This window comes from Homo sapiens, chromosome 6, assembly GCF_000001405.40.
Source record: "Homo sapiens chromosome 6, GRCh38.p14 Primary Assembly".
Lineage (NCBI taxonomy): Eukaryota > Metazoa > Chordata > Mammalia > Primates > Hominidae > Homo > Homo sapiens.
In genome coordinates, this window is record NC_000006.12 from 122,453,717 (window position 1) to 122,472,221 (window position 18,505).

At 36.9% G+C, this 18,505-nt stretch overlaps 2 protein-coding genes across 5 annotated transcripts in view, besides 2 other annotated features; one reads left to right on the forward strand and one right to left on the reverse strand.

Annotated features, from left to right (window-relative positions):
• The window catches only part of SERINC1 (serine incorporator 1), a 28,457-nt gene extending 10,366 nt beyond the window's left edge, over positions 1-18,091 (reverse strand). The window contains exons 1-5 of the mRNA NM_020755.4: positions 17,983-18,091; positions 4,804-4,965; positions 2,765-2,934; positions 435-514; positions 54-191 (exon numbers count right to left, since the gene is read on the reverse strand). Of these exons, the coding sequence (NP_065806.1) occupies positions 54-191; positions 435-514; positions 2,765-2,934; positions 4,804-4,965; positions 17,983-18,021 (589 nt within the window). The 5' untranslated portion in view covers positions 18,022-18,091. The remainder of the gene's footprint in view (positions 1-53; positions 192-434; positions 515-2,764; positions 2,935-4,803; positions 4,966-17,982) is intronic.
• Positions 17,741-18,140: an enhancer, noted in NCBI's record as "active region_25020". NCBI's record gives its function as "activates an Ori minimal core promoter by ATAC-STARR-seq in GM12878 lymphoblastoid cells {active_cell/tissue: GM12878}" and the evidence as "EXISTENCE:reporter gene assay evidence [ECO:0000049][PMID:35858748]".
• Positions 18,191-18,250: an enhancer, noted in NCBI's record as "active region_25021". NCBI's record gives its function as "activates an Ori minimal core promoter by ATAC-STARR-seq in GM12878 lymphoblastoid cells {active_cell/tissue: GM12878}" and the evidence as "EXISTENCE:reporter gene assay evidence [ECO:0000049][PMID:35858748]".
• PKIB (cAMP-dependent protein kinase inhibitor beta) overlaps positions 18,205-18,505 on the forward strand; it is a 254,453-nt gene continuing 254,152 nt past the window's right edge. For all 4 annotated transcript variants that reach the window (NM_001270393.2, XM_047419002.1, NM_001270394.2 and 1 more), the window contains exon 1: positions 18,205-18,325. The gene's annotated coding sequence lies outside the window, so the exon portion shown is untranslated. The remainder of the gene's footprint in view (positions 18,326-18,505) is intronic.

Sequence of the window (18,505 nt, forward strand, 5' to 3'; positions counted from 1 at the left end):
TTCTCGACTTCAAAGTTCAACTATACTGAAGTTGTTCTGCGACGAAAGCTTACCTGCATACCAACATCTCGAGTTCCCTTCTTCCATTTTTTCAACCCACGATTCATTCCATGAATGTGCAAAATCAATAAGTAAGACTAGTTGTATGAGGATGAAACAAAAGGCACCTGCCATGCCTACATAAAACCACACTGAAAGGGAAAGAAAGCATACATAAGTGATTGGTTAGTTTGATTTTTATCATTTCCTTTCAAAATCACAGTACACAAAAAGGAAAATAAAATTTTATATGAACATCTTGATTTTGCCAACTGGGGAAACACACACACACACACCCCCAAACAAAAAGACAAACAATTATAGTTCCAGGTGACAATTATTTCAGATTCCTTTATAAAATATCAATGTCAAACAACTTAAAAAGGATTTCTTACCAGTTGTAAAAGTTCCTTCTGGAATGAAGAATGCCCCAATAATAATTGCAATTGCTGCAGCAAATTTAAAGAACCAAAATCTAAAACAAAAAGAAATATAATTTTTTATTAATAGACATTCATCAAATAATTTCATATATGAAATCATTTAACTGCATCTTAACAAATAGCTACACTTTATGTGAATGTTCTACTTCTTTCTGAGGATATTATGATCTGGAGTGTAGCCATATTTGTAACTACAAAACAAGGTAATCATCATATTTAGATAACATAGTTTGGAGAGAGAGTGAAATTAACCATTACCATGAACCCAAGCTTATATTATAGATCTTTCCAATTGGAAAAAACAAAGCAAAAAAAATCTGATAAGAAAGGCAAGTCAACATGTGAAAGGAATGGATTAAAGCCCAGACCACGCTAGAGGAAGCATCAGAGCAAATGGCTGGAAAAGAAAGGGAAATGATAAGACATTTTGGGGACTACTGGACACTGGCTCTGAGCTGACATTGATTCCAGGGGACCCAAAACAACATTGTGGTCCCCCAGTTAAAGTAGGCGCTTATGGAGATCATTGGGTCACTCCACCAGGAAAAAAACCACGACCTGCTGAGTTGCTTGCTGAAGGCAAAGGGAATACACAATGGGTAGCAGAAGGCAGTCATCAATACCAGCTATGACCACATGTCCAGCTGCAGAAACGAGGGCTGTAATTGTTGTGAGTACTTCCTCCTTGTTTTGTCAAAAACATGTTCATGCATGCATATACTTGTACTAAGAAAATATCTTCATTTTATTTCCATTCTCCTTTATCATGTGACATAAGATTTACTGACTTCACATCAGCATTTAAGTATTGTTAACTTTATGTAATTAGTATTTTGGTTGGGGACTGGTGCGTTTTCAGTTGTAAGGTTAGTTGTATGACCTTATTATTGTCTTTATTTGCAGATTATGTATGATCTCAGGAGATGTATACGGGTTCAAGTTGACAATGGGTAGACTTCTGATAGTTATACTGAGTGTCAATTGAATTCAAGGATGCAAAGTACTGACTTGTAATGGTTAATACTGAGTGTCAACTTGATTGGATTGAAGGGTGCAAAGTACTGATGCTGGGTGTGTCTGTGAGGGTGTTGCCAAAGAAGATTAACATTTCAGTCAGTGGGCTGGGAAAGGCAGACACACCCTTAATCTGGGTGGGCACCATCTAATCAGCTGCCAGCAGGGCTAGAATATAAAGCAGGCAAAAAAAAAAAGTGAAAAGACTAGACTGGCCTAGCATCCCAGCCTACATCTTTCTCCTGTGCTGGATGCTCCCTGCCCTTGAACATCAGGCTCCAAGTTCTTCAGTTTTGGGACTAGGACTGGCTCTCCTTGCTCCTCAGCTTGCAGATGGCCTATTGTGGGACCTTGAGATCATGTGAGATAATACTTAATAAACTCCCCTTTATATATATCTATCTATCCTATTAGTTCTGTCCCTCTAGAGAACCCTAATACACTTGATTATCAGAAAAAACAACAATTACATAAACTGCTTTTAAGACCATTTTGAGAAAGATGTATTTCTCACTAATTCATTATGGAAAAATGAGAATGTTAGTTCCATTTCACAGGCTTATTTCACATAAGTGGGATAATGTATCAAAGTATAAGGTGAACTGTATAAATGAATAGTTTTTATAAACACATGATAAATGCCTCCATCTAAAACTCTAATAATTTAATAAAATAATCAATGACCAAAGGAACAAAATAAAGGAAAAGCAACCCGTCACATATTTTCTCATTAATATTTATATTCTACTTGTTTATACTTTTTGTCTTTGGTAGCACATATAACTAGATAAGCAACAGCAGATATTAAAACAGTCAAATAAGGGTACCAGAAGTAGTGCTCTATATGAAGGAAGATTGATAAAAGAAACCCTGAAGTTTCTTTCTGGGTTGTCCAATACAACCAACCTAGAAAAATCTGCTCTCTGGGTCTAGGGAACTGAGAGTTCTATGTAAGTGGACTGGTCCACCTAAAGTTAACAGTAGAAGGAGAAATAGCTATTCCCTTAGTAGTCACAAATATAATAGAGCCTCTTTTTTAGTATGAAAATATAAAACACTGTGGATCAGAGGTTATCACAGCTATTATTTAATATCCAAAGTCTGACATTCTCCAGTAAAAACAAGATTTTCTTATCCTGTCATTCATGAATAAAGTAATTCTGCAAATTGTATAAGTTTATTTTACCTTAAAGTTTCCTTGGATAAACTGGCAATTATCAAGAAGAGGCTACCCAAGCTTTTATATTGAAGCTTATTTAAAAACTTACCCATTGTGCACTGCAGCTCTAGGATCACTGCTACTCTTCACTTTGATCATTAGTAAAGAGAGAAGAAGATAGAACATAGCCAAACCAAAGCACAAACGATATACAGCTTTATAGCCAACCAAAATGTTACAAGGGACAACACCTTTCTCATTCTCACAAAATCCAGGAATCTAGAAAAACAAAAGAGTTTATGATCCATCATTTTTTTTCATTAAGTAAAAATAAAAATTACATGTAATCAAATAGTTTAAGTAAAGGTTTAGAAAACTGGCATTTGCTTTACAATTTATGATGAATATGTACTCAAGATGAGTCTGATACATTTTAATCACATACAGTGGGGAAAAAAGAGTTAAATCCCCATCTGCGCAAATCATAAACTACAATACCAACTCTATGCTGGTTGCTTATTTTGAGTTATAGATTTATCCTACATTTTAAAAACTTGCATTCTACTTGAATAGCACGATAGACTTGTTTTAGTAGTGTAAGTGCTATTTCTGAGACTACTGTTCAGAACTATTAATACATCTATTATTCATATATATAAGAATAAATTATTTCCTCCCACTCTTTCCAGTCCCAGCACTCTAAAAAAACTGCTTTTCCAGGATACTAGTCATGTACTGGTTTCCAAACCCAAAGGCTACTGCTTAATCACATTCCTTAATCTCATTTTTATATAGACACTATCCCTGTCATTCTTAAAACTTTCTTCCTAGAACCTATACATTTTCTTTGTTCTTTTCTGTTATCCCTTCCCTCCCAGTTTTCTAGGATCAGAATCAGGTTTTCCTTTCTCCACTAACTCCCTTAAGTAAGAGATTTTGGCAGAGTTCTAGCTCTGCTCACTCTGAATGATCTTCAGCATACGCTGCCATGGTTTCAACATTCAATTTCTATCCTCAAGGCAGTCTCTAGCTCTGATTTCTCTTTTAAATTCCTTCATGTTTTCTACTTACTGCTGTATATTATTATGGACTTCGTGTTTGTGTCTACCCAAAATTAAATGCTGAAACTCTAACCCTCAATGGGAGGATAGTGGGAGATAGGGCCTTTATGTGGTAATTAAATCATGAGGGTAGAGCCCTCAGGATGGGATTAATGCCCTTATAAAAACAGACAGAAGAGAGCTGCTGCTTTCTTTCAAAAATGTAAGATGGCCATGTGTAAACCAGGAATAAGATCCTCATCAGAACTTGACCATGGTGGCACCCTGATCTCGGACTTTCAGCCTCCAAAACTGAGAAATAAATTTTTGTTGTCTTAAGCCACCCAGCCTATGATATTCTTGTTATAGCAGCCTGAACTGAGTAAGACATACATATATATATATATATATACATGTACACGATACAATACCACCAAGTCAACATGTTAGAAACTAAATTTATTATGTGTTCCCAATCTCCTTCCACAACCTGACTCTCTCTAAAAATTTTCCTTTCTAGGTTAATAGCAATACTTTCCTCCCGGTTTTGTAGGACCAGAACCTGGTTGTTATTTATGATTCCATATCACTGCCAATATTTCAGTGCTAGGCTCAGTCAATTTTACATCCAGAAAATCTTATTTCAGGTCCGCTATTCTCTTCTTGATTATACCACTGCAACAGCCTCCATATTTAACTGCTTGACTTTTATACTTTATTAATTGTAAGATTAATCTTCCTAAAGTATAGATACTTTGCTTGAAAAGCTCTTTTATACTCATTATGCTTTCTATTTTTCAATCTCTGTATATGCAAGTTCTAATCATTCTTAGAACATCCTTTTTTCCATGACCCATTGAGATTCTGACACCTGGTTAGAATTATACTTCTTTCTGTGTATTACCACAGTACATTTCCTGTACCACCATCATAGAACTTAACAAACTAATGTATATTATCTTTTTCCTAAAAGATTATGAACTACAACTAGGATTACATACTGTCTTATTCTATATTATTCTGTTTACAATATCCCCGAATCAATTTTATACATATACATATATACCCTATAGCCTCAGTTAATCAATAAATAAGAAACGAGACTAACCTTATTCAGTTGTTCTTCCATTCCTGGTATCAACATTACACAAGCTACACATACTCCAACAAGCAAGAAAAGTGCATAGATCAATCTAGTTACAGTGGAGTTGTTTCCACTAGGACAGCATCGGCATAGCAAACACGGGGCACTTCCACACAAACATGGTATCTGGGAAAAAGAATATTATTGAAAATATTATTAAGAATCAGTAAATCACTATATCTTAAAATGATACAATGAAAATTGACATTCTATCTGTTAAAAAAGAAAAAAGACTAAAAGTAATTACATCAAGGGACATACGGTATTTGGTTCATATAAATTATCTATATACCACAAAACTTAGCAACTTCTAAGAAGGAGTAAAGACAAAAAAAATCCTTGGACTCTATGCCAAGTAAAACGGACAAATCAGCTAAAACAAAAAGGGGAAAAAATCATCAGCAGTAACCAAAGTTTAAAGAGGAAAAGAAATGGAATATTCATGAGTAGCACAGCTGCTAAGCCCACCTCCAGCCCCTGACCTTTAGCCCCCAGATACTAGACTGATGAATACAAAAAATTCCGAGGATTCTCAAATACATCCAGGGAGGGAAAAAAAAGTGAATTGATATATTTTCCTTCTTTTGACCTGGCGATAGTGATAATAATGAAAACTACAACTAGAGTGAGGCAAAAAGGATAATAATACAACTGGGGCTAGCTTTTCTCCAGTAACCACCACACTAAACTAGCAGTATGCCCCCAAGGGAACAGAATATCTTCCTGTCTAGGAGAGAGGAACACTGGTACAGAGTATTTAACAGTATCTAAGAAAGCCACAGAGTAAATATTCTCATAATATCATAACCTGGGCTGAGATGTCAGACTTCTAGAAGGTGGATGAACCAGATCTTCCAGCCCTAGAATTACAGCTCTAGGGGAAAAGAGTCTTAGATATCACAGTAAGGGAATGTTGTAGAAGCCAGACCACTACACCAACCAATATAAGGTAAGAATAAAGCTGCTTTATATTAAACGTCCACAAAACGGAAATACATGTCATGGCAACTATGTAAATATACTTTAGCAAAAGTTAAACATAAACATCTCCCCTCAGAAAAAGGAATGAAGAAAATATAAGGCATATGAAGAATTCAGTCTGAAATAAATATAATCCAGTAAGAAAAGGAAATCCCCTACCAGTATTTCATTTGAGCTACAGAAAAATAAAAAATATTTTTTGTTAAAAAAGGAGACCTCAAAAATGAAGTAAGAACAGAACACAATGGAAAGTGGAAATCAAAGGGCTAAAGAAATGAGAAGGGAAAAAACGGACTTAACTAGTAACTATCAAGAAACAAAACAGACATAGGTAAACATAAAATTACTGATGAAAAAAGGCTTGGGATAATTACTATAAATTCAGGTCAAGATGGAGAAACCATGACCAGACTTATCCTCCTGACTTAAACAATGGAAAAAATAAGTTTTTCAGACAATGAACAACAGGCAATGTAAAGCCAGCAATTTCTAAGAGGAGACAATGTGAGCCCTATGACTGGCCCTTATTTTATTGATTAATTGATTGATTTACACAGTCTCCTTCTGTCACCCAGGCTGGAGTGCAGTGGTGCGATCTCAGCTCACTGCAACCTTCCCCCACCCACTCCGGGTTCAAGGGATTTTCCTGCCTCAGCCTCCTGAGTAGCTGGGATTGCAGGCGTGCACCACCACACCCGGCTAATTTTTGTATTTTTTTGTAGTTTTAGTAGACAGGGTTTCACCATGTTGGCCAGGCTGGTCTCCTGACCTCAGGTGATCCGCCTACCTCGGCCTCCCAAAGTGCTGGGATTACAGGTGTGGCCCACCGCGCCCAGCCAAGTGGCCCTTATTTCTGCCTAGGGAGAATGTTCACTGCAGGGAGGGTCTGAGAATTTTACCACCCAGAGGTGAAAAACTTTGTAATCCATGAGGCATTGGGTAAAGATATCAGAAGGCAATTAATACTGGAGAAAAATCAGCCATCAAACTAAAGGCTGCACTAGTTGCACTTAACGAAACCTAAAGGCAAATAAAAAGATCACACTGTCTCTAAGTAAAATCACCCAAGTCAAAGATAAAAGCCCAAGAATATTTTTTTGAAAATAAAAGTATATCCAGCGCTGATCAAGGAAAAATTTACACTGGAAAGCTAACAAAAAATTAGCAGGCATGCAAAAACCAGAAAAATACAACCTATAATGAGGATCAATCAGTCAATATCAACCTGGAAATGATATAGATAACTGAGTTCATTTATAAATAGGGCATTGTAGTATTACTGTTAAGTATATATCACATGCTCAAGGAAGTAGAGGAAAACTTGATAATGTTACGGACAGACATGGAAGATAATTTAAAATTAAGACCCATATCATACTTCTCCAGATGATAAAATAAGCCCCCTAAATATTGACAAGACAGAAGAAAAGATTAATAATGAACCTGAAGACATAAGAAAATAAATGATCCAAAATGAAAGAGAGATAAAAATAAGAAAAGGATCAGAACATTGTGAGACAACTTTAAATAGCCTAATATAAGTGAAATTAGAGTCCCTGAAATGAACTTCAATTGGAGAGAAGTGACACAAAGGTGCTTCTGAGGAAGTAATTGCCCAAATTTTTCCAAATTTATGAAAACGATAAACTCACAGATCCAGGAAACTCAACAAAGCCCTAGCAAAATAAACATGAAAACCACACCAAGTCACATCATAATCAAATTACTTAAAAAAGTAATAATCAGAAAAATCTTAAAAGTAGGCAGAAAAATAAAATGTACATTATAAACTGAGGAACAAAGAAATAAATCACACTTCTAGTAAGAAACGGTTCAAGCCTAAAATCAGTACCGAAAGAAAAAAATATGTAAACATAGAATTTTGTACGCATATTCTCACTGATAGGTGTGAATTGAACAGTGAGATCACATGGACACAGGAAGGGGAATATCATACTCTGGGGACTGTGGTGGGGTTGGGGGAGGGGGGAGGGATAGCATTGGGAGATATACCTAATGCTAGATGACGAGTTAGTGGGTGCAGCGCACCAGCATGGCACATGTATACATATGTAACTAACCTGCACAATGTGCACATGTACCCTAAAACTTAAAGTATAATAAAAAAAAAAAAGAATTTTATACTCAGTGAAAATATCTTCCAAAAATTAAGGCAAAATAAAGACATTTTCAGGAATAGAAAAGACAAAATAATCCAAACAAGCAGAATTAAACTACCAGAAATGTTGAAGGAAATCCTCCAAGAAAGAAAATTATACCAGAGAGAAATTTGGATTTGCATACAAAGGAATATGAAAGAGACATATTCTTCTTATTTAAAAAAATGGGCCAGAATTACAGAGACTAAATCCAAAGACATCATAAGAAAATAATAGACCGATATCCCTCATAAACATACACAAAAAAATTCTTAATGATATTTTAGCAAGTCAAAAACAGCAATATGAAAGTATATAAAAAGGATAATATATTGCCACCAGGTAGAGTTTAGCCTGGAAAAGCAAGGCTGGTTCCACTTTTAAAAATCAACCAATGACCTCTACTGTATAAACAGACTAAAGAAAAAAAACAAGGTCATCTCAATAGATACAGAAAAACCATTTGACAAAATTCAATACCTATTCATGATATAAACTGTCAGCAAAGAATAGAAGATAACATCCTTAACTTGATAAATGGCATTTACAAATACCTATAGCTCTCACCCATAATTAATGACGAAAGTCTGAATGCTTTCCCTGTAAGACATCAAACAAGGCAAAATACCTCTCTCACCATTTGAATTCAACTTCACACTGGAGGTCCCAGCCAATATAATGAGGCAAGAAAGAAAATAAAACATAAAAATTGGAATGGAAGACACGAAACTGCCCTCTTCACATATAACACAACTGTCTATATAGAAAATCCCAAAGAGGGCCATACACCATGGCTCACACCTGTAATCCCAGCAATTTGGGAAGCTGAGGCAGGAGGACCATTTGAGCCTAGGAGTTCAAGGAGTTCAATGATAGCGCCACTGCACTCGAGTCTGGATGACAACAAAACAAAACAAATAAAAACAATAAAAATACCCCACAAAGAACCTACAAAAATGCAACTAGAACTAACTCATCGGTTTAATAAGGTCACATGATAAAAAGTCAATATACACAATCATGTTTCTACGTATTAGTAATAACTGAAAACAAAAAGAAAATAGTTATAAATCTAACAAAACATAGACAAGATCTCAAATAATGAAAACTACAAAACATTGGTGAAAGAAATCAAAGACCTAAATGAATGGCAAAATATACAGAGTTCATAGTTGGAAGACAATTATTTTCAAGATATCAGGTCTTTCCAAACTTATCTATAGATTCAGCCCAATTCCAATCACAATCCCAACATCAGATTTACAGAAATAAACTAGCTGAACAGGCAAAAAACACCAGAATAGCTCAAACAAGTCTGAAAAAAGAACAAAGTTAAAAGACACACTACCTGATTTCAAGACTAGCATTAAAGTGACAGTAATTAAAACAGAGTGATATAGGGAAAAGGGTGGACACACTAAGTAGAACACAATAAAGTTCAGAAATAGATTCATGCAAATATAATCAAAGGATTTTTGACAAAGATACCAAAGCAATTCACTATGGAAAGGATAATCTTTTTAACAGATGTTGCTGAAATAATTGGATATTCATACATTTTTTAGAAAGTTAACCTTAAGCCATAATCAAACCATATATGAGAATTAAGATTTCCTAGATACCATATAAAAAACAGGACTCACAAAAGAAAAACAAATGAATTGGGCTTCATCAAAATTAAGAACTTTTGCTCTTTGAAACACACTGCTGAGAATGAAAAAGCAAGCCATAAACTTGAAAATACTTGCAAGTGAGGTACATGATAAATCATCGGCATCCAGAATATAAAAAGAACTCTAAAAACTCAGTGATAAGAAAACAAACAACTCAATTAAAAATGGGCAAAATATTTAAACAGATACTTTAATAAAAGGCATATAGACAGCAAATAAGCAAAGAAAAAGTGCTCAATATCATTATTAGGGAAATGTACATTAAAATCAGAGATACTACTGCATGCATATTAGAACGGCTAAAATGAAATAAACTGATGATACCAACTACTGACAAGAATGCAGAGCAACTAGAACTCTCTTACTTTGGTGGCGGGAATGAAAAATGGTACAACCATTTTGGAAACCAGTTTGACTGTTTCTTATTTTTAAATCAAACATGCACTTACTGTATGAATAAGCAAATCCACACTCAGATATTTATTCAAGTGAAATAAGAACTTATAATTACACAAAAAAACCTTGATGGGAATGCTTATAGCTACTTTATTTGTAATCATCAAAACCTAGAAAGGCTCCTCAAATGGTGAATGGATAAATTGTGGTACATCCAAACAAAAACAATATTCAACAATAAAAACATACGGAGAATGAAACTCATTATGTGCTAAGTAAAAGAAGCCAGACTCAAAGACTATATATTGTAGGATTCCATTAATATGACACTCTAGAAAGGCAAAATCCTAAAGACAGAAAATAGGGGTTGCCAAGGACAGGACAGTGCAATTTTTTAGGATGATCGATGTTCCAAAACGGTTACACGACTAGAGATGCATTTGTCAAAACTCATGGAACTGTATATTACAAAGAGTAAATTCTACTGTATGTAAATTATACCTTAACTAAAAAAAGTCCTTAAAATAGAGAATCCTCTAAATAAATGAATTAAAGGATATTCACAGATCTAATATAAGAAAAATTCCTTAGATGGAAAAATAATCTGTGCATCAAAAGAGCACACTACTTTTTGAGAAGGGGAAAAAAAGTGATAAAAGATTTAAACTCAGACTTATCTGGTTATTTAATTTCTAAGATAAACAAAAACTCTTCAGCTACTCAGGCAGAGGAAACAAACCACCTATGCACGTGCAGAGGGACGGTGTGGAAACCAGGCTGATATAAGACAGAATACGAAAGAGAAATAACTACAAAGTTCTGAAGGAAATTCGTATACTATATTATACCAGTCCAAAATGTCTCTCAAGAATTTAGCAGGCACTTTCAAAAACCAAAGAACTTAGAGATTCCGGCACCAATAAATCCTTTTTGAAAAATCTACTGATGACAAAATGTGGTCAATTAGGAGATGACATTAAAATAAAAAATTAGAGCAAAGCAATGGTAAGCCAAGGACTGGTAGAGAGCTTTGCATCCACTTAAGTTTAGAGCACTGGTTCTCAAACTGTAACAACTACCAGAATTACCTGGAGGGCTTATTAAAACATAGAATGCCCCCAGTCAATGTTTCTAGGGTATAAGATAATGGCAACATAAAAATAATAGTACAAAGTGCTTCTAGTTAAAGATGGCAGACTGAATATATTAATTTACCTATGTTCACTCTAGAAATCCCAATAAAATAAAAAATAAAGGTTTGGGGTTTTTTTTCTTTAAAAAAGAAAGAATAAAATGTAAAAGTCAAAAAGAACTAGATCTTTTGTTCTAGTTCTTTTGTTTTGTTCTTCCCAGAACAAATCTAGGAAGTAGAAACTACGAAGTAGTAACAACCTTAACAGAGAAAGCTGAATTCTAAGTTATCAAAGGAAAAAGTTAACGAGCAACACAATTCATTTGGCAGAATCCCCAAATAGTTCAGGAACTGGTGGCACCAGGAGTCTCTGTAAGTGACACTAAAGGTATAGTAAAAATAGATGATTGGTTGAATGTCTTTCCAAAGAGCAGTTAAGACTCCCAGATTTCATTCCATTTCTTGCACTAGTCACCTGAAAGAATAAAACATGAGGTTTGACAGGGAAACACCAAGTAGAGTTGACAGAAGGGGTTCCATACTAAAAACATAAAATTAAGTCAAATTTTATGTACTGAATGTGAAGAACCTCATCATTCTTTCCGTCACTTGCCTTCCAGAATGCAGGTATATTCCCCAGGTTGGAGACTGGAAGTGTACCCTGGATCTATCAATAGCCCTAGATAAATATCTGCATTAGGCTTCCACAATAAACTGGTTGAGCCAGATCACTTCACGGTAGTCACAGCTGACAAGTCCTACACCAAGCTCTTGAGTGTCCCACTCCTAAATATGAACAAATAGCTACTGACCACTGAATACTCCGGAAAACACTAAGATCAATGAAAGTGGGAGGAGTGGATAGGAGAAACTTGAAAAGAAATTATAGGCAGACATAAAAGCATAAAAAATTTGGTATTTTTAATATACTTACAGAGTATATTAATAAACTATATAGTACAGGGTATATCATAAAGATAAAAATAAAGATTTTTTTAAAAAGGGAGAAAGCTTGCTTCCATGAAACAACCACAGGATGCTATAAAAATGGAACAGAGGCCAGGAACGGTGGCTCACACCTGTAATCCCAGCACTTTGGGAGGCTGAGGCTGGCAGATCACTTGAGGTCAGGAGTTCAAGACCAGCCTGGCCAACATGGTGAAACAGTCTCTACTAAAAATACAAAAATTACCCAGGGATGGTGTTGTGCACCTATAGTCCCAGCTACTCAGAAGGCTGAGGCATTTGAACTTGGGAGGCGGAATTGCTCGAACTTGGGAGGCGGAAGTTTCAGTGAGCCGAGATCACGCCACTACGCTCCATCCCGGGCAACAAAGCAAGACTAGGTGAAACAGAGAACAAAACAGACTCTTGGTAATTAAAAATGTTACAGCAGAGGTTTTTGTTGTTGTTTGTTTTTTGAGACAGAGTCTCACTCTGTCGTCCAGGCTGGAATGTAGGCTTTACTAGAGTGCAGTGGCATGATTACAGCTCACTGAAGCCACAACCTCCCTGGGTTTAGGTGATCCCCCCACCTCAGCCTCTACAGAAGCTGAGATCACAGATACGCTGGGTGTAGCTGGGACCATAAGCACGCACCACCACGCCTGGCTAATTTTTTTGTATTTTTTGTATAGACAGTGTTTTGCCATGTTGCCAAGGCCTGAGCTCAAGTGATCTGCCTACCTTGGCCTCCCAAAGTGCTAAGATTATAGGTGTGAGCACACTGCCCCTATAGCAGAGGTTTAAAAATTCAACAGAAGTCCAATCAGTCAATAAAAAAATTTAAAAAATAAAATTCAACGGAAGTTCTGAAAACAATCAAGGAAATTTCTCAGAAAGCCGTGCAAAAAGCCAATGAGATGGAAAGCAGAAAGGAAGAAACCTAGAGTTTCAGTCCAGGAAGCATAATATGTGAATAACAGAAAGACAATGTAGAAAATACAGGTGAGAAAATTAAAGAATTCAAGAAATGTAATTAACTGGTGGAGAAGTGAAGGATGGAAAGGTCATACAGAAAAAGTTTCTAAAATGACTTCAGAATACCCAGCAGCAAGACTACAAGTCTACAAAGGAGCATCAAAATTCTGAGGGAAAATGACTTCCAATCTAGACTTCTATGACCAAAGTGTACCTCCTATGTGGTTCTGTCAAGGAGCATTATACCAAAACATGGTCGTCAACCAAATGAATACAAGCAATGAAGAAAAAAAGGGTTTCAACCTAAGAGAGAGGAAATGTACATCCTCATTAGAGGATAAAGTGAGATCCAGGATGAAAACAGTTGACTATAGACTAGAGCAGGTCAGAAGATTCTGGGAGAGATAACCTCCAAGGTTCGATCAATCATGACATGTATCTGAACTTAGAGATGCATACAGCTGGGGAAAAGTCTGAGGTTAAATAATTTAAATACACTGAAAATAGGCTGGGTGCGGTGGCTCACACCTATAATCCCAGCACTTCGGGAGGCCAAGGCAGGTGGATCACTTGAGGCTAGGAGTTCTGAGACCAGCCTGGCCAACATGACAAAACACCATCTCTACTAAAAATATAAAAATTAGCTGGGTGTGGTGGCACATGCCTGTAATCCCAGCTACTCAGGAGGCTGAGGCAAGCGAATCACTTGAACCCGGAAGGTTCAAAGTCGCAGTGAGCTGAGATCGCGCCACTGCACTCCAGCCTGGGCAATGCAGTGAGATTCTGTCAAAAAAAGAAAAGAAAGCAAACCAATGAACAAAAAATGTTGTGCATGAAAGGAAAAGTCATTGCATATTTAGTACAAGGCTGACCTATGAAGAGCATTACACAAATAAAGAACTAACATGTAAGTGCTTGCTACAGCTTTACATATATAAACTTATTTAAATAGTCACAATAATGTTCATTTACCAAAATTATTTAGTATTATGGAAAGCTATGGGGACATCAATGTGTGTGTGTGATTTTGGTGGGGGTAGGGATGAGGGCCAGTTGAAATCAAGGGATGACTGCTAAATCTTCGTCTTCCATAGTTAGAAGACAATGTCTAAAACAAATAAACAAAATCAAGAATACACTATATGTATGTTAATTAGAAATACGGCAATAAATACCAAAAGAAATACTGTCTCCAAAGGGAGGAAATGGGAGTGGTATACTATTTTTCTTAAGCGCATAGAGAAGTATGTACATACAGAATTATGAATTAAAAAATTTAAAAATGATACAATTAATTAAACCTGGGAACTAGGGGAATGGGTGAATATTGATTTGTTCCACCTTTCAGAGAAGTGAATCTAAAATTAAAATGTCCTTAAAAAGTTACTCCAACTTCAATGTCTTATACAATGTTTTTCTTAAACTTAAACCAGACTTTCTTAACCATGTTGTTATTGCTATTTTGGGCTGAATAATTATTTGTTGTTGGGGGCTATCCTATACATTGTAGATTTAGCAGCATCCTTGTCCTCTACCAACTAACTAGATGCTAGTGGCACGCCTCACCCCAGGTTGTGACAATGAAAAATGTCTGCAGATATTGCCAAATGCCCACTGGGGAGCAAAACTGTGTCCAGTTGAAAATCACTGCTATGGAAACACCTCCTTAGAAGAATCTTTTTAAGAAACTCTCCTGACAAATGTTAACATTTAAGAATTACTTTTTTTTTTGTTAAATTCAAGAAACATTAAATTCAATGCTTTGCTTAAAAATATGTTTAAGATGCTGCCATTCCTAAGAATATATTTTTGTCTATTCATCCACCCATGTGTATACAAATACACAATGCACCCATGCATTGAGAGAGAAGGAAGATTTTGGGGGGACATTTTTATTTAATTTCTACTCTGCATTGCTTGACCATTCATAGCAACTATAAATCATTTCTATAAAACAAGTCACTGTATTAACAAAAATTTAGGAGGTTGGCAAAAAATACGCACTCAGTAATCACTAGTTCTTAACGACTTAACTAAACTAAATATCTTGATAGGTATTGTATATAAGGCTCACCCATTCAAAAAAAAAATCAATTCTGTCTACTCACTAATACCAATGTTGAGACTGGGATGGGGAAAAGCATGTAAGTAGGTATTAGTGATTGGTAATGTTATAGTTATAGGATTAGTTGGTATGATGTTTATAATGTTTAAAGTAATTAACAATCAAAAAAAGAGACAACCATGCATGAATAAAAAATTATACTGCCATGAACCAAGGATTATGATCAATCTAATTCTAGGTCTCTTAGCAGCAAACAAAAAGTGAACAATTTAACACTCCAATTTCTGCTCAGTGGTATTACACATAATTTGTCTCTTTATAGTTCAGACATTTTCTACAATTATTTTATAAATAAGGAAAAAACTTTTACTAAATTTGATTAAGCCTGCAGAAACTTGTACTAATTAAGAATGAGGTTGGTTTGTTTTTAATTCTGGCTTACCTGATCTAATTTAATGATTTGAATGTTACTTTTTTTTTGTTCTGTTTTTTGTTTTTGTTTTTTTTTTTTTTGACACAGAGTCTCACTCTGTTGCCCAGGCTGGAGTGCAGTGGCGCCATCTTGGCTCACTGCAGCCTCCGCCTCCTGGGCTTAAGAGATTCTCCTGCCTCAGCCACCCGAGTGGGATTACAGGTGTGCGCCACCACATCCGGCTGATTTTTGTTTTTTTGTTTTGTTTTGTTTTGTTTTCTGAGATGGAGTCTTGCTCTGTTGCCCAGGCTGGAGTGCAGTGGCATGATCTCAGCTCACTGCAACCTCCGTCTCCCAGTTCAAGCAATTCTCCTGCCTCAGCCTCCCGAGTAGCTGGGACTACAGGCATGTGCCACCATACCCAGCTATTTTTTTTTGTATTTTTAGTAGAGACGGGGTTTCACCATATTGACCAGGCGGTCTCCCACTCCTGACATCAAGTGATCCATCCACCTCATCCTCCCAAGTGCTGGGATTACAGGCGTGAGCCACTGCAGCAGGCTCTGAGTGTTACTTTTGAAAAGCTGAATAAATTTTAATTTCATCAAAACCTCTAAGTAAATGAGCACATTAACTGTTAAGAATGTGGAAGAGATGGTCCCCTTCAATGACTATTGGCCTGCAGTAAAATCAAACAATTAATGAATAGAGACAGAGGCACAAGGAAGAAAAGGGAAAAAGATTACTGAAACTGCAAACAATAAAATAAATTCCAAACTGAGCACGGTAGCACCTGCCTGTAGTACCAGCTACCTGGGAGGCTGAGGTTACACTTAAGCCCAGCAGTTCCAGGCTGCAGTTCACTACGACCATCCCCTGCACTTCAGCCCGGCCAATACACTTAGACCCCCATCTCTAAAAAACTGCCTCACTGCTTCTACCTTTTTAATGTACTTCGCTATTAACACAGAAACTAAAAGGCAGGGTCAATTTTATCACGGACATTCTTCTAATCAATAAAGGTGGCGATCTATTTTGTAAAAGGGAAAACATGTATCTCATCTTTTAAATCTCTATTATATACAAAAAACTACAGCACGCCCACTTCATAACTGGACAAGATACGACATTACAAATTGAATTGCATAACATCTTCCAATAAAAAACCGATGAAAACAATCTTATATGATAATCAATTATCAGTTTTCAAAACTGTTTATCACACTAAATATGCCTCTTTTGTATAAAAGTCAATAATTAAACTCTCTAATATCTTGAGATAAAATATTCCAGGCTTCCGTGCAAGAAGAAATACCATATAATCAAAAGAACAGACTGGCTGGAGTAACAATCCCCACATTATTATTTGATTAAAATTCAACATTTTTAGTTCAAGACATATCAAAACCTTTAAGAGTATATATAACGGAATCATTTGGGAAGTCAGAAAAGCAATTGTTAGAAACAGAATTAACAAATTCCAGACTAAAGAAAAGTGATTTGAGTCCAAATACCTCGCCTAAAATTACAAATATCTTTATTAACTGCACTGCCAATGTTTTGCCTACTATTTTGGAGGGGGCAGAGATTATCTTAAATAAACTGAAATTTGTGCCACACGGACCAAAGTCTTGCCACTATACTGAAAATAGTTTTACTCTAACAACTCTTTAATGAAAATGCAATGTACAGCTAATTAAGCATGAAATTTCAGATGACACACGCATGTTTTGTGCCTAAAGACAAAATTGTCATTAGGCACAAGGCATGCGTGTGTCATCTGAAATTTCAATTTTAAGTTGAAATCTGAAATTGACACTTCAAACAGTTACGGCAGAGCTATGACTATTTGTTTCAAAAACAATATTACTACATTAGCATTACTGCCAGGCGGTTCCAAATGACGACAGGCACTTTTTAATCATAATCTGCGCCACTGAACAAAGAGGGCGACATGAATCCAGGAACGACAGTGCGGCAGTCTGAGGTCGCCAGGAAAGAGATGACAACAGAGTGGGTACCCCACCGAAGGAAAGGGGCAAAGACCTTTGTAGAGATGGCCTGCGCAGATACAAACAAAACCACGAAAAGGGACCTCAAAGAATGGGAGACAGCGTTCACGAAGCAGGGGTGGGGGAGGGGCCCTATTCTAGTTCTCTTCCTCAATTTGAGTCATCTTCCCATCGCCACTAAACCTTACGGCCAGTGATCAGTTCTTCGCAAGACCCAAAGCTCTGAAGCTGAGTCTGAGTGACGAGAGGAGACGGGAAGAAAACGGGGACAGAGAGGGCACTCCCTGTTGGGTGGGGCACCACATTCCCGCCGGGCTCACCCAGCCCCGGCTCGGATCGCCTTCTCTTTGGTCTCTCACACTAGCACCCCAGAGGCCGCAAAAAGCACCTTACCCAGCTCGCCATGGAGCACAGCCCCAGGACGCTCCCCATCTCCACAACGTCACAAGAGCAGCGGATACAGACAAGATGGAGACAGCTTCTTTCTCGCCTTTCCGAGATTATTTACTATCTGCGAGACACTTCCGGACGCACAGCGCAACCCGCCCCTCAGCCTCGCGTCACTTCCTTCCAGGCCTGGGTAGGATAAAACACGGAGCGCGCAGCGCTGAGACTGCGCATGCGCGTCACTAGACGACACGGCTGTCTTCTTTCCTGGAGAATTTCTCAAGGACTGCTGGCTGGAAACTTAACGGCTAATGTGGATCTGACCGTAGTTTGCCAAATTAAGAAAACGGTGTGAGCAAAACCCACCTTTACCTACCATGCACTTGCATTTGGGCATTAGTAGAGAACAGAGCTGAGGTGGTGGTTGACGTTTTGCCCTCCTTCATCTGAGGAACCTCTCTGCTTTTTAGGGGATTGCTTCCTCTTTCTCAGTCTTTGTCCGTCCTAACTCCACTTATTTCCCATTTTT